Raw genomic sequence first — 26,051 nt, forward strand, 5'->3', positions numbered from 1 at the left:
AGGCTGGGCGCAGGGACTCATGCCTGTAATCTCAGAACTTTGGGAGGCCGAGGCGGGTGATCACCTGAGGTCAGGAGTTCGAGACCAGCCTGGCCAACATGGCAAAACCCCATCTCTACTAAAAATACAAAAAATTAGCCAGGTGTGGTGGTGGGCACCTGTAATCCCAGCTACTTGGAAGGCTGAGGCAAGGGAACTGCTTGAAACCAGGAGGCAGAGGTTGCAGTGAGCCGAGATTGTGCCATTGCACTCCAGTCTGGGCGACAGAGCAAAACTCTGTGTCAAAAAAACAAAACAAAACAAAACAAAATACAGAACAGATTCAACTCAGGTAAGTGAAACTGCCAGATGGCCAAAACAAGTTCTTCAAATTTCCACAGAACTCATTGACCCAGCAGGACTACATTTTTATCCAAATTGCAGCTGGGAGCTTGATTAACTGAGAAACAACACAATTAAATGACATGACATTCTTCATAGGCACCAATCCAATGTCAGTATCTGCAGGCTGAAGTACAGACAGTTACACTGAAATTGCGTATGCTCTGAGGAATGACACTAAATTCGCTTCCAGGAAAATTACTCAATTTTGTAAGTAATTTTCAGTTTTTTTTCTCAGGGATATTTTTCAACTTTCACTTTAATTTTCTTTAGTTGCTTAGTTGTACATTTTGAGAAGGCAAATCCATTGGAACTTGGGGAGGCTTAGAACATAAATCAGTATTAGAAGTAAAGGGAACACACAGCTAAAAGTTTTACTTTAATCACAAATTCACAACTAGAGATATCATTTGCATATCTTAGAACGCTAAAGACCTGTTAAAATTTTTTAACCAATCAGCAAAAATATGTGCCCCACAGATTTCTAATGTTCATAATTTAGAATTTATCACATATAATATTTATTAATAGTTTATTTGCAAAATTATTATTCTTAAAACACTTCTTTCCAACACATTTACAATGTTCATGTGTTTTAAAGAAAAAAACCACCCTCATTTAAAAATGTACTACTGACTTTAATGTGTGGTTATACCAGTGCCACCAAATTAGAAAAGAAAAAGAAACATACAGCTGTATTGGATATGTAGTTACTACTACAAATAATGACAACACACGTCCTATACAAAGATCATATTCACGCTTTTCTACCACTTCTCAGTCATTGTCAGAACCATTTGGAGGTAAGAAAACCAATGCATCATTGAAAATATGCCCAAATGCCCTAAGGCGGTATACCCCATACATCATCACATGCATCTGATTTGGAGTCAGTCCATTAAAAGTAACAGCCATATCTGAACAACAGCCTTCTACTACCTGGTTGGGGTGATAAGTCATTGCCTCTTTAATAGAAAGCCCAACAGATTTGGTATTAAATACATCTTTTCCATCAGCATCTTCTGCATTTTCTGCAAATACTCCAGCATATTTCAGGCAAACTGCTAGCTGTTTATCTTCAGATATCTTCCAAATCATCCCTCCCTGTTCAGGACACTTTTCTGGGATATTGAGAAGGCTGTTAAGTCTTTTCATTGATTCTACACTTAAGACAATTCCTCCTTCCATACCCACATATTCAAGGTCTCCAGATTTTATAGTGTGGCCTAGATAGAAAGGCTGTGATGGATCCTTTTTTAACAAAAAATACTTTAGGTTTTCAATGATAGCAAACGTAGTGGGGCGTGCAAGGAAGAACCAGTTGTATTGGTCTCTATACTTATCAAAGGCGTATTTGTAAGCTTTTCTCATCATTAACCACATGTCATTTGTGTCCATATTAATTGACTCAAACACTTTAACATTTTCAGAACTGAAGAACTCTGCTTTGTCACAGTGTTTGGTCCAAGTCTCCTTTACTGCAGCCCAAAGACTCACATCTTTGGGTTTTACAAGGATAATACAGTATACTCGAAAGCTCTTACTGAGCTCCATGCGCTCATCCTCTGAAATTTTCAAGATATCTTCTTTGTTAGGAGCTTGTAGGTGATGATGCTCATGGTGGTGCATTCTATTTCCATGACCAATCCTAATGTGTCCTAGCATAGTGATCAAAGCACAGAAAATGCTTCCAAGCATCACACCCTTCAAAAAGGAGCTGCTTTCAGAAAGCATTTTTCCTATAAAGAAGAAAAAGACTCTTAAAATACTTAATAGAAAAAGATTAGTCTATAAATTTGATTTGGTATTCCTTATATACTTACATTTTGCTTTTAATGTTTTTTTTAAAAGGTTCCCAAGCTTGAAATCAAGTTAGTTGCATATAGTACAAAAGGCTCTCAAAATCTTTAGCTTCCAATGGAATCTGATTACTGTTTGGTATAAACTGGAACTTTGCAACAACTCCTCTATGGAGAAGTTTGTTTTGCACTTCATCTATGGGGATTTAATAAACCCTTGAAACCAGTGTTACAGAGGTTATCCATCCACCATTCTCTTTAAAGAATTTCACATCACAAGCTTGCATTATTTAAATACCTCTAAAAATATAGTGAACTTTTACACCAAAACCTTGGGTTGAACAGATAAAACCACCTATAAATGGCAAATCACCAATGGTATTGTGCTGACATTTCTGTTCTCAACATAGTGCTTTCTTTAACTGATGGCTGCTGTCCTTAAGTGTTTTGAGTAAATCTAAACCAAGTTTCTTGAGAATAACACCATATAGGTTAATATTTACCCTTTTGTTCCTAAAACTAAATGGTTTCCAATACAGTATCCCAACTATTGATGTAATAGAAGCCCATAATAAAAAGTTACATCTTTTGGATCAAAAAGGAATATTGATAGATATATCTGGGGCCCATTAATAAACATTTTCATTTCCTCAAAAGGAATTTTCTTCTTCTTTGGGGAAGTAAAAATGGAAAAATTTACACTTTTATTTCAATTAGAAATTAAGAGGCAGGTGCAGTGGCTCATGGCTGTTATCTCAGCACTTTGGGAGGCTGAGGTGGGTGGATCCCTTGAGTTCAGGAGTTCGAGACCAGCCTGGGCAACATGGTGAAACCTTGTCTCTACCCAAAATCCAAAAAATTAGCCAGACGTGGTGGTGGGTGCCTGTAATCCCAGCTACTCGGGAGGCTGAGGCACAAGAGTCTCTTGAACTTGGGAAGCGGAGGCTGTAGTGAGCTGTGATCTCACCACGGCACTCCAGCCAGGGCATCAGAGTGAGACTCTGTCTCAGAAAAAATAAATAAATAAAAGAAATTAAAAGCTGACATTAAATAAACTTGTTGAAAAAAATTGTATGTTAACCATTTATTCTAGTAAAGGCTGAATTTTCCAATCTTCCCTCCATCTTCAGAAAAAAGCAATCTATTGAGCTACTTAGACTTCCCAGTTTTCTCTTATGGTTGAAAGGAGCCTTAGAAAACTACCCAATGTCAGTCACTTCTCTCATTTTACAGAGAGGAAATGGAAGTCCACAGAGGTTAAATAACTGACTCAGTCACACAGTTAGACAGTGGTATAAGTGGACTAGAAACCACATTTCTCAATATCAGTTTAATGGTTTTTTTCCATTACAGAAGAATAATTGCCATAGTGCTTCTACCACATTAGAGTTTAATAAATGGGTTACTGAATATCCTTGTTTTCATACAAATGGGAAAAAAGTGGGATCTGTTGACCATAACTGATATTTTGCACCCAACAGCACCATATTGCTACAAGGAAACCACTCCTGTGGTTTTCTGCTAGAGGAAATGGAATTTTGACTTCTACCAGAAAGACAAGGTGTGGAATAGCTTGGCAGATGTAATTTCTGAGCGGTGGGTGGGGCAAGAGGCAGGAAGACTTTCCTGTGTCACTCACAGAACTTGGTCAATAAACACAGTTCCAAGAAGAGAAGTGACAGAAAACAAGCTCGGCATAATATTAGAATTGTCGGCTGTGTGCGGTGGCTCACGCCTGTAATCCCAGCACTTTGGGAGGCCGAGGCAGGTGGATCACCTGAGGTAGGGAGTTCAAGACCAGCCTGGCCAACATGGTGAGACCCTGTCTCGACTAAAAATACAAAAATTAGCCGGGCATGGTGGCATATGACTGTAATCCCAGCTACTCAGGAGGCTGAGGCAGGAGAATTGCTTGAACCCGGGAGGCGGAGGTTGCAGGCAGTGAGCCAAGATCGCACCACAGCACTCCGGCCTGGGCAACAAGAGCGAGACTCTGTTTCAAAAAAAAAAAAGAAAGAAAGAAAGAAAAAAGAAAAAGAATTGTCAGGTGCACTCTAAGATTAATTTATATAGGATTTTTGTATTTCATGTCACGCAGTTTTCATTATTTCTGGCCAATACATAATTCACATGTTTCTTTGCTCAATTATGGCATATGTGTCAGAATTCTTCCTGATGGTGATCCTACTCCTGGCTGCAAAAATAGTGATCAAAACTCAGTAAGTCTACACATTTTAAATAAAATAATTTGCAAAAATTATTCTAAGGAGATTTTTTCCCCATCACAGAGGCAAAAAATATAACACTAGGGATGCATATGATAGGATACTTTGTGCAGAAGGAAACAAAACTGCACACGAGCACAAATGAAACAGAAACTACCCCAATGGTTTTTAGATGAACCTTTTTGGGTGAAGGTAGTTGGGGTGAAGTACGGAAAACGAAGACGAAATAGGGAAGAGAAGTGAGAGGGAGGACATGGTAACCTCGATATCCCTCTGAGGGACCAAGAGAGCGCCCCCAGGAAGAAGACTCTCGGTCTCCTGTGCTGACAATCCTCCCGCTGCACCTGCCCAAGCATCCCGCGTGGAGCATGCTGGGAGAGGGCTGGGGCCCAGGCCTCCCCCAAGAGAGGGAGGGGAGTCAGGGTGCGCTTGGGGTGGGGGTCGAGGCCCCGCCACTCACCCGCGTCTAGAACGGCTTGGGGACAGGAAAGCGCAGCCGCGCACGGGTTTCCTCTCACGTTGGCGCACCACTCCGTTACGCTCCTGACCAGGCTGTTCTAGCTGCAGGCGGTGTTCTCTCGTTGGTCTCGCTAAAGGTGGGGAGCGCCAGGAAACGAGCGCCGCGAAGGCGGGGGTAGTGGGGCGGGGTAAAGGAGCCGGCGGCTGGGCGGAGCCGTCCGTTTGCCCGCCCGCGCAGGCGTCGGAAGGGCCGGCGCGCCCGCTGCGCGCACACTGCGTGCCCTTTCTCCCCGCCCCCTGCCGAGTTCAGAGACTTGCTATAGGCCTGCGTGACCCGGACGCTCTCCTTTACCCAACGGGCGTCCAGAGAAGAGGCCGTGCGTACGACTCGCTGACACCTCCCATTTCACCTTCCTGGCATGGAAATTGCGAGAGCGAGAGATTCTTGCTCCCGGTGTCGCTTTTTATCAGACCTCTTGATGGTTTCTCTGATGTACCCCTGCGTCCTTGAACCCTCATATTGCCCACCCCCCCAGTACTCCTGGGCTGAGACCAAAACGCAAGCCACTGAAATAGTCACGTAATTATGACACCAACGGTTTCCTATTATTACTGGAATGAGATCTGAAGCCCCACTGCCTGGAATCCAATCCTGTCTTCACCACACCTTTTGATATCCCAGGAAAGTTATTTCACCTCGCTGTGCCTCAGTTCCCTCATTTGTAAAGTACAGAAAATGTCACAGTAGTGCCTATTTCATAGAAAATTAGATGAGATAGTGCATATGACTCCCTTAGCAAAATTTCAAGCCTAGAGTAAGCATTTACTAAAAAGTACTGGCTGTTATTATTCACCCCAGTATTTCTAGTACTTAACCACAGTGCCAGCACGCAGTGGACAGTAAATATTAGTGGAATTAATGAATATTAGAACTACAGCTGAGGAACCAGGCCTAAAAAGGATAAGGAAATTTCAAAAGTCCACACAGCAAGTTAATGGCAGAGGTGGGACTGGAATCCAGGTCTCTTTTTTTTTTTTTTTTGAGACGGAGTTTCACTCTTGTTGCCCAGGCTGGAGTGCAATGGCACGATCTCGGCTCACTGCAACCTCTGCCTCCCGGGTTCAAGCGATTCTTCTACCTCAGCCTCCCTAGCAGCTGGGATTACAGACGCCCGCCACCACGCCCGGCTAATTTTTGTATTATTAGTAGAGACGGGGTTGGCCAGGCTGGTCTTGAATTCCTGACCTCAGGTGATCCACCCGCCTCGGCCTCCCAAAGTGCTGGGATTACAGGCTTGAGCCACTGCGCACGGCCCCCAGGTCTTCTAATTAAGAGTGCAGAGCTCTCTTTCCACGAAATATTTGATGTGTCTCTTTTTTTTTTTTTTTTTTTTGAGACCGAGTTTCGTTCTTTTTGCCCAGGCTGGAGTGCAATGGCGGGATCTCGGTTCACTGCAGCCTCTGCCTCCCGGGTTCAAGTGATTCTCCTGCCTCAGCCTCCCTAGTGGCTAGGATTACAGGTGTGCGCCACCACGTCTGGTTATTATTATTTTTTTTTTTAGTAGAGACGGGGTTTCGCCGTGTTGGCCAGGCTGGTCTCGAACTCCTGACCTCAGGTGTTCCACCCGCCTCGGCCTTCCACAGTGCTGGGATTACAGGTGTGAGCCACCGATCTGTCTTTTAAAATTCATTTTTGGCCAGGCGCAGTGGCTCACGCCTGTAATCCCAAAACTGTGGGAGGCCGAGGCAGGTGGATCACCTGAGGTCAGGAGATCAAGACCATCCTGGCTAACACGGTGAAACCCTGTCTCTACTAAAAATACAAAAAATTAGCCGGGCGCGGTGGCATGCGCCTGTAGTCCCAGCTACTCGGGAGGCTGAGGCAGGAGAATGCCGTGAACCCGGGAGGCGGAGCTTGCAGTGAGCCGAGATAGCGCCACTGCAGTCTGGCCTGGGCGAAAGAGCGAGACTCCGAGGCGGGCGGATCACGAGGTCAGGAGATCGAGACCATCCTGGCTAACACAGTGAAACCCCGTCTCTACTAAAAATACAAAAAATTAGCCGGGCGAGGTGGCGGGCGCCTGTAGTCCCAGCTACTCGGGAGGCTGAGGCAGGAGAATGGCGTGAACCCCGGGGCAGAGCCTGCAGTGAGCCCAGATAGCGCCACTGCACTCCAGCCTGGGCGACAGAACGAGACTCCATCTCAAAAAAAAAAAATAAAATAAAATAAAATAAAATAAAATAAAATAAAATAAAAATTAGTCGGGCGTGGTGGCTCATGCTTGTAATCCCAGCTACTCGGGAGGCTGAGGCAGAAGAATTGCTTGAACCTGGGAGGTGGAGGTTGCAGTGAGCCGAGATCGTGCCACTGCACTCCAGCCTGGGAGAGTGAGCAAGACTCCATCTCAAAAAAAAAAAAAAAATTCATTTTTGTGGCAGAAGGCTTTTTGCTAAAAAGCCCAAATTTTTACAATTATTTAAAGTGTATTGTTACTAGGTTCCATTAAGATAAAATTGAGTGGTGACTTACTCGGGCCTGAGTTCCTAAAGACACACATGTATTTGAGTGTTGTCAGTGACCTAGTTTAAGTAGACTGAAGGTTTCAGGGAACTCTGAAACAATGAACAAATATATTGTAGGTAGTTACTATCCTGGCAACACTATCTTAAAATCTGGAGATACAGTGGTGAGCAAAATAAGTACCCTGACTTCATGGAGCTGTCAGTCAAGTGGGGAAGAAAGACATTAAACAATTTATTACAAATAATTATAATGGTGGTATGTTTTCTAAAGGAATACCAAAATGAATTTTATTTCTGACAGTGGGCCCGCTGGAAAAGAAAAAATGAATTTTAGAACTGGAAAAGAATTTAAGACCGTGGAATATTTTCATTATATTTTGTTAAGTAATATAGTCTATTTCACATATTATATAAAATATATATGTATGTATGTATATATACCTATATAGTTAAGTGAAACAAATTGCAGAATACTGCATATTATATGATTATGTTTTGGTGGAAACAAACGTGCACATAGGTTTGATCTGTTCGTATGAACAAAGAGAGTTATGGAAGAATACTCAGCAAGCTCTTAATATTGATTACATCAGGAGGTTGAGGTGGGGATGATTAGCTTTGTCTTTATACATCCTTGTATTGCATTGTTTCACTGGTTATAAACAAGCACCTATTTTGAATTTGAAGACCAGCAAATAAAAGGACCTTAAAATTACAGGGACAAAAAGAAAAAAAAGAAAAGATACCAATAAAAATATCTTTTAAAGAATGCAGAGAACCACTCTGTCCTCGCAAAAAGGGACCAGGAAGGACAGAAATGACACTCAGAATTCAGACTGTGATGAAGAGGCAATATAAAATGTTTCTCCTAGAAAATAAGGGCACCTATTTGAGATGATGAATATGTTCATTAGCTTGATTGTGGTAATCATTTCACAGTGTATACATATAGCAAATCATCACATTGTGCACTTTAATTGTATACATTTATTTGTCAAACATACCTCAATAAAGCTGGAAAAAAATAAAATGATTCTTCTTTTAGTATAGAAAAGTACTGTATACCAAACTGGAAGTATTAATAATATAAGAGCAGCGCTTCTTATAGTGGTTGGTAATTTTAAAAAATATTATTTAAAAAATGACACAAGAGACCAGGCATGGTGGCTCACACCTGTAATCCCAGCACTTTGGGAGGCCGAGGCAGGCGGATCACCTGAGGTCAGGAGATCGAGACCATCCTGGCTAACACGGTGAAACCCCGTCTCTACTAAAAATACAAAAAATTAGCCAGGCGTGGTGGCGCACGCCTGTAATCCCAGCTACTTGGAAGGCTGAGGCAGGAGAATCGCTTGAAACTGGGAAGCGGAGATTGTAGTGAGCCGAGATCATGCCATTGCACTGCAGCTTGGGTGACAGAGCGAGACTCCGTCTCACACACACACACACAAAATTGACATAAGATGCTCTGAGACAGAATAAACCATGGGATTTTCAACACCAAAAGCTCTGTTAATAAGAAATTGTCTAAGAACCCAGTTCTTTACTTGACAAATAACTTACATATACTTAGCATTTTAAATAAAGTTAGTGAGATGATTGACTTATGGCTTTTTTTTTTTTTTGAGACAGAGTCTCACTCTGTCACTCAGGCTGGAGTGCAGTGATGTGATCTTGGCTCACTGTAACCTCCATCTCCCAGGTTCAAGTAATTCTCCTGTCTCAGCCTCTCGAGCAGCTGGGACTACAGGCGCATGCCACCACGCCTGGCTAATTTTTGTATTTTTAGTAGAAACAGGGTTTCACTACATTGGTCAGGCTGGTCTCCAACTCTCAACCTCAGGTGATCCACCTGCCTTGGCCTCCCAAAGTGCTGAGATTACAGGCGTGAACCACCACGCCCAGCCAGTAATGGCGTTTTTTTTAAAACAACATTCCATATCTCAGCCTTAATTTAAAAAACATGTGCAATTAGTATCTATTAAAATTAAGATGTTCATACTTTTTGGCCCAGCAAACCCATTCTAGTGATCTCTCCCACAGAAATAGGGGCAAATGCATTATTGTTTTTCTGTTTTTGTTTTTGTTTTTGTTTTTTGTTTTTGTTTAGAGACAGGGTCTCACTCTGACACCCAGGCTGGAGTGTAGTGGTGCAATCATGGCTCACTACAGCCTCCAACTCCTAGGCTCAAGCAATCCTCCTGCCTCAGCCTTCCAAATATGGGGTCTACAGGCAGGCACCACCACCCTGGATAATGTTTTGTAGAGACAGGGGCTTGCTGTGTTGCCCAGGCTGGTCTTGAGCTCTGGCCTCAAGTAATTCTCCAGCCTCGGACTCACAAAGTGCTGAGATTACAGGCGTATGCCACTGTGTCAAGCCAGCAGTTTTTTTTTTTTTTTTAACTTTCATTTTAGGTTAAGGGGTAATGTGCAGGTTTGTTATATAGGTAAACTGCATGTCTTGGGGGTTTGGCATACAAATTATTTTGTCACCCAGGTAATAAGCATAGTTCCCAATAGTTAGTTTTTTAATCTTCTCCTTCTCCCACCCTCCACGCTCAAGTAATCTCTGGTGTCTGTTGTTCCCCTCTTTGTGTCATGTGTTCTCATTGTTTAACTCTCACTTATAAATGAGAGTGCGGGTGTGGTGGCTCACGCCTGTAATCCCAGCACTTTGGGAGGCCAAAGCGGGCAGATCACCTGAGGTCAAGAGTTCGAAACCAGCCTGACCAACATGGTGAAACCCCGTCTCTACTAAAAATACAAAATTAGCTGGGTGTGGTGGCACACACCTGTAATCACAGCTACCCGGGAGGCTGAAGCAGGAGAATTGCTTGAACCTGGGAGGCAGAGGTTGCAGTGAGCCAAGATCACACCATTGCATTCCAGCCTGGGCGACAAGAGCAAAACTCTGTCTCAAAAAAAGAAAAAAAAAAGGCATGGCGCAGTGGCTCACGCCTGTAATCCCAGCACTTTGGGAGGCCAAGGCAGGCAGATTGCCTGAGGTCAGGAGTTTGAGACCAACCTGGCCAACATGGTGAAACCCCATCTCTACTAAAAATAAAAAAAATTAGCCAGGCATGGTGGCACACAACTGTAGTCCCAGCTACTCGGGAGGCTGAGGCAAGAGAATCACTTGAGCCTGGGAGGCAGAGGTTGCAGTGAGCCGAGATCGCACCACTGCACTCCAGCCTGGGTGACAGAGCGAGACTCTGTCTCAAAAAATAAAAAACAGAACATGTGGTATTTTTTTCTTTGTTCCTATGTTAGTTTGCTTATGAGAATGACTTCAGCTCCATCCATGTTGCTGCAAAGGACATGGTCTCATTCTTTTTTATGGCTGCATAGTATTCCATGGTACATACATGCCACATTTTCTTTAGCCAGTCTACCATTGATGGGCATTTAGGTTGATACTATGTTTTTGGTATTGTGAACAGTGCTGCAATAAACATATGCATGCATATGTCTTTATGGTAGAATGACTTATATTCCTTTGGGTATATTCTCAATAATGGGATGGCTATGTCAAATGATAATTCTGTTTTAAGCCCTTTGTGGAATCACCACACTGCTTTCCACAATTGCTGAACTAATTACATTTTCACCAGAAGTGTATAAACATTACCTTTTCTCCACAACCTTACCAGCATCTGCTATTTTTGACTTTTTAATAATAGCCATTCTGACTGGCACAAGATGGTATCCCACTGTGGTTGCGATCTACATTTCTCTAAAGATTAGTGATGATGAGCATTTTTTCATATATTTGTTGGCCACATGTATGTCTTCTTTTGAGAAGTGCCTGTTCATGTCTGTATTAGTCTGTTTTCACACTGCTATAAAGATACTACCTGAGACTGGATAATTTATAAAGGAAAGAGGTTTAATTGACTCACACTTATTCTTTTCCTTCTTCTTTTTTTTTTTTTTTGAGACAGTCTCACTCTTTTGCCCAGGCTGCAGTGCAGTGGCACAATCTCGGCTCACTGCAACATCTGCCTGCCAGGTTCAAGCAATTCTCCCACCTCAGCCTCCCGAGTAGCTTGGACTACAGCCGCATGCAACCACACCCAGCTAATTTTTGTATTTTTAGTAGAGACAGGGTTTCACCATGTTGGCCCAGATGGTCTTGAACCCCTGACGTCAGGTGATCCACCCACCTCGGCCTCCCAAAGTGCTGGGGTTACAGGCTTGAGCCACTGTGCCGGAACTGACTCACAGTTCTGCATGGCTAGAGAAGCCTCAGGAAACGTACAATCATAGTGGAAGGTGAAGGGGAAGCAAGGCATGTCTCCTCATGGTGGCAGGAGAGAGAGAGAGGAAGAGTGAGGAAGTGCTACACTTAAAACAATCAGCTCTAGTGAGAAGTCCCTCACTATCATGAGAGCAGCTTGGGAGAAACCGTCCTCATGATCCATTCACCTTTCACTGGGTCTCTCCCTGGACACGTGGGGATTACAATTCGAGATGAGATTTGGGTGGAGACACAAAGCCAAACAATATCATTGTCCTTTGCCCACTTTTTAATGGTGCTGTTTTTTGCTTGTACATTCATTTAAGTTCCTTATAGATTCTGGATATTAGACCTTTGTTGGATACATAGTTTGCAAATATTTTCTCCCATTTTGTAGGTTGTCTGTTTACTCTGTTGAGAGTTTCTTTTGCTGTGCAGAAGCTCTTTGGATAATTAGGTCCCATTTGTCAATTTTTGTTTTTGTTGCAATTGCTTTTGGCATCTTTGTCATGAAATCTTTGCCAGGGCCTATGCCATTTAGTATTTTCTAGGTTATCTTTCAGGGTTTTTATAGTTTTAGGTTTTACATTTAAGTCTTTAATTTATCTGGAGTTTATTTTTTTATTTTTTATTTTTATTTTTTTGAGACGGAGTCTCGCTCCGTCGCCCAGGCTGGAGTGCAGTGGTGCAATCTTGGCTCACTGCAACCTCCGCCTCCCGGGTTCAAGCGATTCTCCTGCCTCAGCCTCCTGAGTAGCTGGGATTACAGGCATGCACCAGCATGCCCGGCTGATTTTTGTATTTTTAGTAGAGACGGGGTTTCACCATGTTGGTCAGGCTGGCCTCAGACTCCTGACATTGTGATCTGCCTGCCTTGGTCTCCCACAGTGCTGGGATTACATTGAGTTGATTTTTGTGTATGGTGTAAGGAAGAGGAACATACTTCAAAATAATAAGAGCCATATGTGACAGCCCCACAGCCAACATAATACTGAATGGGCAGAAGCTGGAAGCATTCGCCCTTGAAAACTGGCACAAGACAAGGATGCCTTCTTTCATCGCTCCTATTCAACATAGTATTGGAAGTCCTGGGCAGGGCAATCAGGCAAGAGAAAGAAATAAATGACATCCAAATAGGAAGAGAGGAAGTCAAACTGTCCCTGTTTGTGGATGATATGATTCTACATCTAGGAAACCCCATAGTCTCTGCCCAAAAGCTCCTTGATCTGATAACTTCAGCAGAGTTTCAGGATACAAAATCAATGTACAAAAATCGGTAGTATTCCTATATGCCAACAACATCCAATTGAGAGCCAAATCAGGAACACAGTCTCATTCACAATAGCCACAAAAGAATGAAATACCTAGGAATACAGCAACCAGGGAGGTGAAAGAACTCTACAAAGAGAACTACAAAACACTGCTCAAAGACATCAGAGATGACACAAACAAATGGAAAAACATTCCATGCTCATAGATAGGAAGAGTCAATATGTTAAAATGGCCATACTGCCCAAAGAAATTTACAGATTCAATGTCATTCCTATCAAACTACCAGTGACATTCTTCAGATAATTAGAAAAAACAATTTAAAAATGCATATGGAACCAAAAGAGAGCCTGAATAGCCAAGGCAATTCTAAGCAAAAGAACAAAGCTGCAGGCACCAAGTTACCTGACTTCAAACGATACTACAGGCCTACAGTGACCAAAACAGCATGGTACTGGTACAAAAACAGGCACATAGACAAATGAAATAGAATAGAGAGCTCAGAAATAATGCTTCACACCTACAGCCATCTGATTTTTGACAAAGTTAAAAAAAAAAAGCAATGGGGAAAGGACTCCCTATTCAATAAATGGTGCTGGGATAACTGGCTAGCCGTATGCAGAAAATTGAAACTGGATATTCTTGTTTATAATAGCAAAAGTGGGAAATAGCCATTAATAAGGGAATGTTTGAGTTCATTATGGTACATCCATATAATGGAATATTAAGCATAAAATAGAGAGCTTATTTCACTAACCTATACTAAACACTTCCTTAAACACAGTAAGCTACACCTTGTGTGGGAGAGTTGCTTTGAATTTGGTTGCATTCATGTACACAGCAGGCAAGGCAAGAATGCATTAAAAACTGACGACACTGCATTTTGGGTAAGGCTCTTCTATCAAATGCATGCATTATTCAGCATGAGAGGTCATTAATTTCTAGTAATTAGTGATTCACTTGCACGTGAGCACTCAAATCTGCCCAAAGGCCTTTGGGAAATTAAGACAGCTTTCCACAAGAGTTCGCTGGAATAAAAAATATTGAAGGACATCTACAGTGAATTTTCCGCATAACATCTTTTTGAAGGGTTAAAAATGTTTTCTGTGATTACCTTAATAAAGTGCCTATAATATATGTATCTCTTCTGCCCAGAGTTTCTCAACTGTTCATGTTCAATAAACAAACTCTCTTGTCTGAACAAATGTATTGTTTCCATTTGTGTATGGTGTAATCTTTAAATGAATCTCATTTGTGTGTTCAGGCATATTCATGCTTGTAATTTCATTTCAAAAATTTTTTTTATTTGATGGCCATCTGAGGGTTTTTTTTTTTTCTTGAGTCAGAGTCTCACTCTGTTGCCCAGTCTGGAGTGCAGTGGCGCCATCTCAGCTCACTGCAACCTCCACCTCCTGGATTCAAGCGATTCTTGAACCTCAGCCTCCCAAGTAGCTGGGATTACAGGTGCACACTACCACGCCTGGCTAATTTTTTTGTATTTTGAGTAGAGACAGGGTTTCACCATATTGGCCAGGCTGGTCTCAAACTCCTGACCTCAAGTGATCCACCCTCCTCGGCCTCCCAAAGTGCTAGGATTACAAGCGTGAGCCACAGCGCCCAACCAGAGCTTTCTTTTTTTTAAATTAACAAACCCATTCACCCTCCAGCAAACATATATTAAGTGTTTGCAATACATCCGGCATTGTGTTAATCATTATTTAAACTTTTTTATTATGGGTAATTTCAAACATATACAAAAGTAGAAAAAAAACTATAATGAAATCACTTTTTATGTAGATTTAACATCATCAACTCAAAGCCAGTCTAGTTATACCTGTACCCGTATTTCATTCCTTTCTAGATTATTCAAAAGTGTCTCCTGGACATTATATAATTTTATATAATTTCGCCGGGCGCGGTGGCTCACGCCTGTAATCCCAGCACTTTGGGAGGCCGAGGCGGGCGGATCACGAGGTCAGGGGATCGAGACCATCCTGGCTAACACAGTGAAACCCCATCTCTACTAAAAATACAAAAAATTATCCGGGCATGGTGGCGGGCGCCTGTAGTCCCAGCTACTCGGGAGGCTGAGGCAGGAGAATGGCATGAACCCCGGGGGGCGGAGCCTGCAGTGAGCCGAGATCGCGCCACTGCACTCTAGCCTGGGCGACAGCGAGATTCGGTCTCAAAAAAAAAAATTTATATAATTTCATCCACAAACATTTCTGTATATCTCTATAAGACATAAGGAGTTCTTAAGAAAAACCCACAATACCACTAGAACAACTAAAAAATTCCTTAATATGATCAAACATCCAGTCTGTGTTCAAATTACCAATATCACAAATGTGATTTTTTAATAGTCTGAATCAGAATCCAAATAGTCTTCACATTGTGATTGTTTATGTGTCTCTTAGTTCTCTGTTGTCTATAGGTTTCTTCTCTCTCTTTCTCCCCTTGATATTTATTTATTGAAGAAATCTGGTTGTTTGTCTTTTTTGTTTGTTTTAGAGACAGGGTTTCACTCTGTCACCCAGTCGGGAGTGCAGTGGTGCAATCATAGCTCACTGCAGCTTCAAACTCCTGGGCTCAAGTGATTCTCCTGCCTCAGCATCCCAAGTAACTGGGACTACAGGCTCATGCCACTGCACCCAGATGTTTTTTTTTTAATTTTTTGTAAAAATGCACTTTGTTGCCCAGAGTGGTTCTTGAACTCCTGGCTTGAAGTGATCTTCCTGCCTTGGCATCCCAAAGTGCTGGGATTACAGTCATGAGCCACTGCACCCAGCCTTATTTTCTTGTACCTTTACCTAGTCTGGTGCTGATTGCCTCATCCTGGTTCCTTTAATATATTTCTCTGTCTTTTGTGTTCCTCATAAACAGGTAGTTGGATCTTAAGTAGGGCTGGGCTGGGTGTGATGGTGGCTCACGCCTGGAATCCCAACACTTTGGGAGCCTGAGGTGGGAGGGTTGCCTGAGCCCAGGAGGTGGAGGCTGCAGTGAGCTAACTTCAGCCTATGATCGCGTCACTGCACTCCATTGTGGCGACAGAGTGAGACCCCATTTCAAAAAAACAAAAATAAAATAAAAAGTAAAGTAGGGTTGCCAGATTCAGAAAGATAAATGCAGGACTCCCAGTTAAATTTAATTTCAGATAAACAATGAATGGTTTTGTAGTATAAGCATGTCCCAAATATAATGTATGGGACATACTAAATATTGCATGGGACGTGCTTACATGAATATATATATATATTTATATAAATATATATTTATATAAATTTCACATATATAGTTCACATATAAACATATAATTTATATATATAATATATACAAATAAATAAACTATATATATATGTATATATATAGTTGTGTTTTTTTTTTAGGTGGAGTCTCGCTCTGTCGCCCAGGCTGGAGTGCAGTGGCGCCATCTCTGCTCACTGCAAGCTCCGCCTCCCGGGTTCATGCCATTCTCCTGCCTCAGCCTCCCGAGTAGCTGGGACTACAGGTGCCCACCACGATGCCCGGCTAATTTTTTGTATTTTTAGTAGAGACGGGGTTTCACCATGCTAGCCAGGGTGGTCTCAATCTCCTGACTTCGTGATCTGCCCGCCTCGGCCTCCCAAAGTGCTGGGATTACAGGCGTGAGCCACTGCGCCCGGCCTATATATAGTTGTTTATTTGAAATTCACTTTTCACTGGGCATCCTGAATTTTACCTGGCAACACTAAGCTTAATCTCAAGGCTATGCTAGATTCAAGATCAATATTTTTTTGAGACAGGGTCTCACTTTGCTGCCCATGCTGGAGTACAGTGGCACAATCATGGCTCACTGAAGCCTCAAATTCCTGGGCTCAAGCAATCCTCCCGCCTCAGCCTCCCAAGTGGCTGTAACTACAAGTATGTGCCAACACACCCGCCTATTTTTTTACTTTTATTTTTTGTAGAGACGAAGTCTCCCTGGTCTCACTATACTGCCCAGACTGGTCTCGAACTCCTGGGCTCAAGGGATCCTCCTGCCTCAGCATTCCAAAGTGCTGGGATTACAGGCGTGAGCCACCGAGCTTGGCCCAGGTTTTTTTTTTTTTTTTGAGATGGAGTCTTGCTCTGTCTCCCAGGCTGGAGTGCAGTGGCATGATCTTGGCTCACTGCGACCTCTGCCTCCCAGGTTCAAGTGATGATTCTCCTGCCTCAGTCTCCTGAGTAGCTGGGATTACAGGTGCCCGCCATCATGCTGGGCTAATTTTTTGTATTTTTAGTAGAGATGGGGTTTCACCATGTTGGCCAGGCTGGTCTTGAACTCCTGACCTCAAGTGATCCACCGGCCTAGGACTCCCAAAGTGCTGGGATTACTGGCGTGAGCCACCGCGCATGGTCTTTTTTTTTTTTTTTTTAAGGCAAAACTGTTTCATAGGGGGTGGTGCTTGTTTCACTCAGGAGACACATAATGTCTGGTTGTCTCTCTTTGTGATGATAGCTGTCTTTGATGCTCAATATCTAGATTGGTAATTCACTAGAGTTGCAATATGGTGATCTAATTTTCCAAGGCATATTTTAAAGAGGAAACTTAGTGTTGTGATTAAGAGATCCTGCTCTGAGATGGGAAAGACTTGGTTTTGAGATTTGGTCCTACCACTTCCTAGCTGTGTGACCTGGGACAAATCAGTTCGCTTCTCTCAACCGCAGCTTCCTCATCTGTAAAACAAGATTAATAATAGTACCTATTATTACTCATAAAGTTTTCGTGAGGATTAAATAAGGTAGGGTATGTAGGGGGTTTAAAACAGTGCCTAGCACATGGTAGATGCTCAATAAAAGCCAACTATTGTATCTCATGAGATTCTTGAAGAATTACGGCCTCTCAAATTCAGAATTTTCCAATATTCAAATCCTCCATTCAACAGTTAAATTACATTTTCACATTGTTTATAAAAATAATAATAAAGATTAACGAATGAACAGTCTCTCATATTTGTCCAGTGCTTTATAGCCAACAAGGGCCTTCTTCACATGCATTCTTACTTGATCCTCATAGCTGCATTTTAACCAGAAAGACTGGTTTTATTCATTTTTTACATCTGAAGAATCTTGGCCTTAGGGAGGCAATTTGCTACACACAACACATCCAGAAAGTCACACAATAGAGCAGGGAGTAAGTCCTAGCCCAAGGCTCTTTAGATGGAAAACAGGTCTTCCCTCCTGCAAAGATTTCATTTCTTGGTTTCAGTTACAACACCAATGTCTTGTTTTCTTTTTCGACTTTTCTTCTTTTCTTTTCTTCCTCAATCATTTACTTGTTTGTTTATAGTTTTTTTTTTTGGTAGAGACACTATGTTGTCCAGGCTGGTCTCAAACTCCTGGCCTCAAGCCATCCTCCCACCATGGCCTCCCAAAGTGCTGGAATTAACCGGCGTGAGCCACTGCACCCAATCCAACCTTTCAACTTCTCATTTCTTTCAAATTATTCCCTCCTTATCCCCATTCTTGGTGTCTCTTTCTCTTCTTCCCAAATACAGTCATTCTAAATTTCTTTCCTTGGGTCATTTTAATTGCTATATTCTCCCCCTATGATATCTACTCAATAGCTTCATCTAGTCAAATAGCTTCAACTACTCCCTCTGGGAGGATGATTTCCAAATCCATATTTCTGGCCTCTATGTCTTCCTTGAGTTTTGGACCTGAAATTTCAATTGCCTGCTTGATATCTCCATATGACTGCTTCAGATAGAATCCAACGTTCAGTGAATCTGCTTATTTGGATCCTGATTTCAAACAATCAACTGTAAACAAACAAGTAAATGATTGAGAACATTTAAATGCTTAATGGATATTTGATTACGTTACAGGCTTAATGTTGATTTTTTAGGTGGCCAAGCATGGTGGCTCATGCCTGTAATCTCAGCATTTTGAGAGGCCATGGCAGGAGGATTGCCTGAGCCTAGGAGTTTGAGGCCAGCCTGGGCAACATGGCAAGACTCTGTCTCTGCAGAAAATTTAAAAAATTAGCATGCACCTGAGGTCCCAGCTACTCAATAGGCTGAAGCGAGAGGATCACTTGAGCTTAGGAGGTCGGGGCTGCAGTGAGCTGTGTTTTTGCCACTGCACTCCAGTCTGGGCATCAAAGTAACACTGTGTCTCAAAAAAAATGTTTTTAGTTGAGATAATTGTATGTAATTGTAATTAGAAATATATAGTGAATTGTTTGTGGATTATATCATATGATGTCTGGGATTTACTTCAAAATAATTCAATTCAGAAAACAGTATGGAAGTCCTTCAAGAAATTAAAAATAGAGTTACTACAGGATCTAGCAATCCCACTACTGGGTATTTATCCAAGAAAAATCAAATTAGTATGTTGAGGAGATATTTGAACATCCATGTCCATTTCAGTACTATTCACAATAGCCAAGATATGGAACCAATCTAAGTGTCCAACAGTGAATGAATGGGTCAAGTGTAGTATGTATACACAATGGAATACTATTCAGCCACCAAAAAGAAGGCAATTCTGTTATTTGTGACAGTATGGATGAATCTGGAGGACATTATATTAAGTGAAATAATCCAGGCACAGGAAGACAAATGGATCCCTTAGAAGTAGAGTAGAATAGTGGTTGCCAGGGCTGGGGGTATTAACAGGGAGAAGGGTTGGGGGGTGGTCGGTCAAAGGATACATATTTACAGTTAGATAGGAGGAATATGTTCACGAGATCTATGATACAGCAAGGTTACTATAGTTAATAAGGATATATTGTATCCTTGAAAAACGTAAAGAGAGTTGAAGTTATGTGCTTTCACTGCAAGAAAAAATGATTAACCGTGAGATACTGTAGTTGTTAATTAGCTGGATTTAACCATTCTACAATGTATATATACTTCAAAAACATCATGTTGTACATGATAAATATAAACAATTTTACATGTCAATTTAAAAAATAAATAAATTTGAGGCCAGACGCTGTGGCTCACGCCTGTAATCTCAGCACTTTGGGAGACTGAGGCCGGTGGATCACGAGGTCAGGAGTTCCAGACCAGCCTGGCCAACATGGTGGAACCCTGTCTCTACTAAAAATACAAAAAATTAGCCAGGTGTGGCTGGGCACGGTGGCTCACGCCTGTAATCCCAGCACTTTGGGAGGCCGAGGCGGGCGAATCACGAGGTCAGGAGATCAAGACCATCCTGGCTAACACGGTGAAACCCTGTCTCTACTAAAAATACAAAAAATTAGCCGGGCGTGGCAGTGTGCGTCTGTGGTCCCAGCTACTCGGGAGGCTGAGGCAGGAGAATGGCATGAACCTGGTAGGTGGAGCTTATAGTGAGCCGAGATCGCGCCACTGCACTCCAGCCTGGGCAACAGAGCGAGATTCATCTCAAAAAAAAAAAATTAGCCAGGTGTTGTGGCGTGCACCTGTAATCCCAGCAACTCGGGAGGCTGAGGCAGGAGAATCGCTTGAACCCGGAAGGCGGAGGTTGCAGTGAGCTGAGATCGCACCACTGCACTCCAGCCTGGGTGAAAGAGCAAGACTCCATCTCATAAAACAAAACAAAACAAAACAAAACAAAACAAAAAAAACCATACATTTGAAAAAATAAAAAAAAGTTCCAAGTTTAATTCAGGAAGGGGAGGAATAGGTAAGATTGATAAAACAAAATTGACCTTGAGGTGACAATTGTTGAGCTAGGTAATGGGTATATAGGGCTTCAATATCCTATTCTCTCTATTTTTCTCTCTGTTTGAAAACTTGCATAATAAAGATTTAAAAATATTAAATAGATCCAAAATCAAATTGATCAACCTCACCTACATCCATCTCCTGACAATTGTTTTCTCATTAATGTCCTCTTATCTTTCCAGTTACTTATTGTGAACATGCAAAGTTCTCTTGGTTTTCTCCTTCTCCCTAACTTCTACATCCAGTCAGTTGCTGTCAGGTCAATGCTCCCTTCACAGCGAATCTTGCATCCATTTTTTTTCTTTTCAAACTGCCACCACTTTATTAAGTCCTTCATCACTTCTTGCCTTAAATAGTGTAATAGCATACATACATTCCTCCCCATTTCCAGTCCCTCCTTACTTTATGCATATCAAACATCTAGCATAGTGCTTGGTACTTAGTTTTTTTTTTTGGAGTGCTGTGGTGCCATCTCGGGTCACTACAACCTCCACCTCCTGGGCTCAAGTGATTCTCGTGCCTCAGCCTCCCAAGTAGCTGGGACTACAGGCATGCGCCACCACGCCTGGCTAATTTTTTGTATTTTAGTAGAGATGGGGTTTCACCATGTTGCCCAGGTTGGTCTCGAACTCCTGAGCTCGGGCAATCTGCCCATCTCTGCCTCCCAAAGTGCTGGGATTACAGGCATGAGCCACCGCGCCTGGCCAATACTTAGTTCTTTCTCCCTTTCTCCTCAACCATGAATTTATCTTTCTCACTAGTGCCTGCTTAACCCTCTGATTGCACCTTCTGTCTTCCCTGAGAGACATGCATAGACACTAGGTATGCTTTCATTTTTCATTTTTATTTATTTATTTATTTATTTATTTATTTATTTATTTATTTATTGAGACACAGTCTCACTCTGTCACCCAGGCTGGAGTGCAATGGCACAATCTCAGCTCACTGCAACCTCCGCCTCCTGGGTTCAAGAAATTCTCCTGCTTCAGCCTCCCGAGTAGCTGGGATTACAGGCGTGAGCCACCACTCCTGGCTAATTTTTGTATTTTTAGTAGAGACAGGGTTTCACTACCTTGGCCAGGCTGGTCTCGAACTTCTGGGCTCAGTTGATCCATTCACATCAGCCTTCTCTGAGAGAGACTGCCCTTCACTTCCTTTCAGCATTGCTTTTCTCTCTGTCCTTGCTTGATCCTCAGTAGGCTTCACTGCTGCCTTCATTCCACCCTAACTGCCATGCTTTGTGGAGGAAACGTGTGTATTTGAATAAAGACTGACTTCTCAGTTCCAAAGTTAGATGTGAGAGCAGTATTTTTCCTAGCTCTGGATGAACGGGCCTTTACATTTTGAGAAAATAGTCATACTGAATGTGAGTAAAAGAGAAGCAAGTTTTAAATCTCCTTCTTGTCCCCCCACTCGGTTGGGAAGAAAAGGGAAGATCTTTAGTTCAGAGGGATCAGCTTCTAGATCCAGGCAGGATAGGGTAAATGCTAATGTTGAAGAAGGAAATGAGCGGATGTTATTCCAGTAAGCTGGGGGCTTCTTGAGGAAATATTTCTTGCCTAGCGATGAACAGCAAGAGCTGCCACCAGTGGGTCTCATAGAATCAACATCAGCAGTGTAGATTGGGTGAAGGTGCTGTGGCCCAGGGATGTCTCAGGGAAATGACTATAGAACCCTTGTTTTTTGAGGTCTGTCTGGTGTAGTTCTGTTTGTTATGGACAGCAGCCAAGCCATCAGGGGTTGGGCTGACCATGCACAAAGAACCGTCCTATCCTTCAAAAAGAAAATGCCATAAGTCAATCACATTCTACCATTTTAAGCATAACACTTGTAACTAAATCAAACTGCTGTATTATAACCAAAATGCATCCTCCCGTTTTATATTTAAGGCCCACAGGCTTCAACTAATTTAGGGGACCATCTGGTAAGAGAGACAGAAAGTCTCATTACAAAGTGGCATTTGTTTTCAGGCTCAGACCTCAAAAGGGATTGTCCTGAAGACCCCAACCAATTCCCTGTGTGAGGGTCTAGCGCTCCTGACCTTACCACTTAGGTAGAAAGAACATGACTTTGGAGTCAGATAAGATTCAATTCTCTCCTTCAACTCTCCCAAGCTGGGTGCTTTGAGCCACAGGACTCCTGAGGTTTGAGTTTTCTCAGTTTCCTCATATGTAATATGGGAATTAGATTATACCTGAAGTTGTTTGGAAGATTAGAGGAGACATAGGCTCCCAGAGGGACCCTAGAGCTATTGGTCCCCTTCCCAATATCTATAACTTAATCCTCCTTCATTGTATTCACTCTGAGTCTTGCTATTCTGGCCTTGTTTGCCTAACATCCACTTTTACATACATAGACACTAGGCATGCTTTTATTTTTCTTTTATTTATTTATTTATTTTTTGAGATGCAGTCTCACTCTGTCACCCAGGCTGGAGTGCAATGGCACGATCTCAGCTCACTGCAACCTCCACCTCCTGGGTTCAAGCGATTCTCCTGCCTCAGTCTCCCGAGTAGCTGGGATTACAGGCGTGAGCCACCACACCTGGCTAATTTTTGTATTTTTAGTAGAGATGAGGTTTCGCTATGTTGGCCAGGCTGGCCTCGAACTCCTGAGCTCAGGTGATCCACCTGTCTCAGCCTCCCAAAGTGCTAGGATTACAGGCGTGAGCCACCACGTCAGGCCTAGGCATGCTTTTAAACAGATCTTTGAACTAAAGGGCTAAAAATAAGTTTTGTACTAATCCTGTTATTTGTTCACTTTTCTAGGAAGTAAAGAATTGAAATTGGGATTACCCTGATATAAACTTGTCAGAAGGCAATTTTGCCTCTTATGTAGTGTGCTGAGCAAATCTATTCTCAAAGTCCTCCTCTCCTATATTTACATAGTTGAAAGGGTTAGATTAGTTGGTTGGGACAAATCTTGGTTGCAGCTCAGGGGTGGGGAGGAGAGGGAGTGAAGAGTAGGTTGGTTAGAGATGGAAAATATGGGAATAGGGATGTTTTTAGACTCTATCTAGATAACTGTTATGTAGGTTACAGCTTTATTTCAAGTGAGAATGTGAATATGGCCATCTTCCTAGTTAGAGCCTAATGCTCAAAATTTCCTTGAAACCAAGAAACAAAATAAAAAAATGATGATTAATATTGGCAGAATGTAATTGCTGAAGCTGAGTCATGGATATGTGGAACTTCATTGTGTGATTCTCTATACTTTTGTGTGTGTGTTTGAAAATATCCATAATTAAAAGATTTTTATGTGACAATAGAGGTCAAGAACTGAGGAGTTTGACTGTCATGTCAGAAAAGCTAGTAGAGCATATCTGAACCAGTATAATTTGTTAAAGGAAATTATGGTGATTTCTGTAATGCTTATTTAGTTAACTGGATTTACTTGAAAGATTATATAGCATATGGCAAACAGATAAAACATTCAGTGGATATAATATAAATTGATCTCAAAAAAGTTTTTTTTTTTTTTTGGCCTGGTGCTGTGGCTCATGCCTGTAATCCCAGCAACTTGGGAGGTTGTGGGCAGATCACTTGAGGCCAGGAGTTCAAGAGCAGCCTGGCCAACATGGTGAAACCCCATCTCTACTAAAAATACAAAAAAAATCAGCCACGCATGGTGCCGTGCACCTGTAGTCCCAGCTACTTGGGTGGCTGAGGCAGGAGAATTGCTTGAACCCGGGAGGCAGAGGTTGCAGTGAGCTGAGATCATGCCACTGCACTCCAGCCTGGGCAACAGAGGGAGACTCTGCCTCAAAAAAAAAAGTGTGTTTTTGTTTTTGTTTTAATTCAGACGGGATTTGCAGGTCACCAAAAGGCTTCTGACAGGATGTCACAACCACTGGTTCTGTTTTTTTTTTTTTTTACGAGACAGTGTCTTGCTCTGTCACCCAGGCTGGAATGCAGTGGCATGATCATGGCTAACTGCTGCTTCAACCTCTTGGACCCAAAGGATTCTCCTGCCTCAACATCCTGAGTAGTTGGAACTACAGGCATCAAGCACAAGCCACCATACCTAGTAAATATGTTTTATTTTATTTTTGTAGAATGGGGTCTCACTATGTTGCCCAGGCTGATTTCAAACCCCGGCGATCCCTCCCACCTTGGCTTCCCAAAGTGTTGGGATTACAGGCATGAGCCACCACTCCCAGCTGTGCATAACATCTGTTTTTAAGGGAATTAAGTCACCATAGGATTGTAACCCACTTTCCTCTGAGTAGATATTGCCTGAGAAGTAGGAAACAAAGATAAAGATAAAGGAGGTTAAAGGATTGTTTTGACATTTCAAAAGCATGATTCCTTAGGGATAGGATTGGGTGGAGCAACATTTTTTAATAAATGTATTTCTATAAAAGAGCTGAAGGAATGCACAGTGAAATCTCTGAGTTGATTACATTAAACTCTTCTTGAGCCATGAATTACTTTTATTTTTTATAAACCAGGAAGAAGCCAAATACCTGAATAGGCCAATAACAAGTTCTGATATTGAGGCAGTAATTAATAGCCTACCAACCAAAAAAAAGTCCAGGACCAGACAGATTCACAGCTGAATTCTACAAGAGGTACAAAGAGGAGATGATACCATTCCTTCTAAAACTATTCTAAACAATAGAAAAAGAAGAACTCCTCCCTAACTCATTTTATAAGGCCAGCATCATCCTGATACCAAAACCTGGCAGAGACACAACAAAAAAAAAAAAAAAAAGAAAATTTCAGGCCAATATCCCTGATAAGATCGATGCAAAAACCCTCAATAAGATACTGGCAAACCGAATCCAGCAGCACATTAACAAGCTTTTCCACCAAGATCAAATCAGCTTCATCTCTGGGATGCAAGGCTGGTTCAACATACAGAAATCAATAAATGTAATCAATCACATAAACAGAACCAATGACAAAAACCACATGATTATCTCAAAAGATGCAGAAATGGCCTTTGACAAAATTTAACACCCCGTCATGCTGAAAACACTCAATAAACTAGGTATCGATGGAACGTATCTCAAAATAATAAGAGCTATTTATGACAAACCCACAGCCAGTATCATACAGAGTGGGCAAAAGCTGGAAGCATTCCCTTTGAAAACCGGCACAAGACAAGGATGCCCTCTCTCACCACTCCTATTCAACATAGTATCGGAAGTCCTGGGCAGGGCAATCAGGCAAGAGAAAGAAATAAAGGGTATTCAAACAGGAAGAGAGGAAGTCAAATTGTCTCTGTTTGCAGATGACATGATTGTATAATTAGAAAACCCCATTATCTCAGCCCCAAATCTCCTTAAGCTGATAAGCAACTTCAGCAAAGTCTCAGGATATAAAATCAATGTGCAAAAATCACAAGCATTCCTATACACCAATAAACAGACAAACAGAGAACCAAATCATGAGTAAACTCCCATTCACAATTGCTACAGAGAGAATAAAATACCTAGGAATACAACTTACAAGGGATGTGAAGGACCTTTTCAAGGAGA

General features: G+C 42.1%; 1 protein-coding gene across 2 annotated transcripts, besides 2 other annotated features; it reads right to left on the reverse strand.

Annotated features, from left to right (window-relative positions):
• C1GALT1C1 (C1GALT1 specific chaperone 1) lies at window positions 623–5,003 on the reverse strand. Of its 2 annotated transcripts, NM_152692.5 has the most exons (3): window positions 4,866–5,003; window positions 2,205–2,376; window positions 623–2,120 (listed from the first exon to the last, which is right to left on the reverse strand). In NM_152692.5, exon 3 carries the CDS (start codon window positions 2,113–2,115, stop codon window positions 1,159–1,161), a length of 957 nt encoding a protein of 318 aa, NP_689905.1. In that variant the 5' UTR covers window positions 2,116–2,120; window positions 2,205–2,376; window positions 4,866–5,003; the 3' UTR covers window positions 623–1,158. The 2 variants fall into 2 exon arrangements, with proteins under 2 accessions (NP_689905.1, NP_001011551.1); NM_001011551.3 differs by lacking the exon at window positions 2,205–2,376.
• Window positions 4,384–5,311: an enhancer, noted in NCBI's record as "H3K27ac-H3K4me1 hESC enhancer chrX:119763290-119764217 (GRCh37/hg19 assembly coordinates)". NCBI's record gives its function as "activates a minimal SCP1, AML or CMV promoter by ChIP-STARR-seq in primed H9 embryonic stem cells {active_cell/tissue: H9 hESC(primed)}" and the evidence as "EXISTENCE:reporter gene assay evidence [ECO:0000049][PMID:30033119]".
• Window positions 4,971–5,240: a silencer, noted in NCBI's record as "silent region_20969". NCBI's record gives its function as "represses an Ori minimal core promoter by ATAC-STARR-seq in GM12878 lymphoblastoid cells {active_cell/tissue: GM12878}" and the evidence as "EXISTENCE:reporter gene assay evidence [ECO:0000049][PMID:35858748]".

This window comes from Homo sapiens, chromosome X, assembly GCF_000001405.40.
Source record: "Homo sapiens chromosome X, GRCh38.p14 Primary Assembly".
Taxonomy (NCBI): Eukaryota; Metazoa; Chordata; class Mammalia; order Primates; family Hominidae; genus Homo; species Homo sapiens.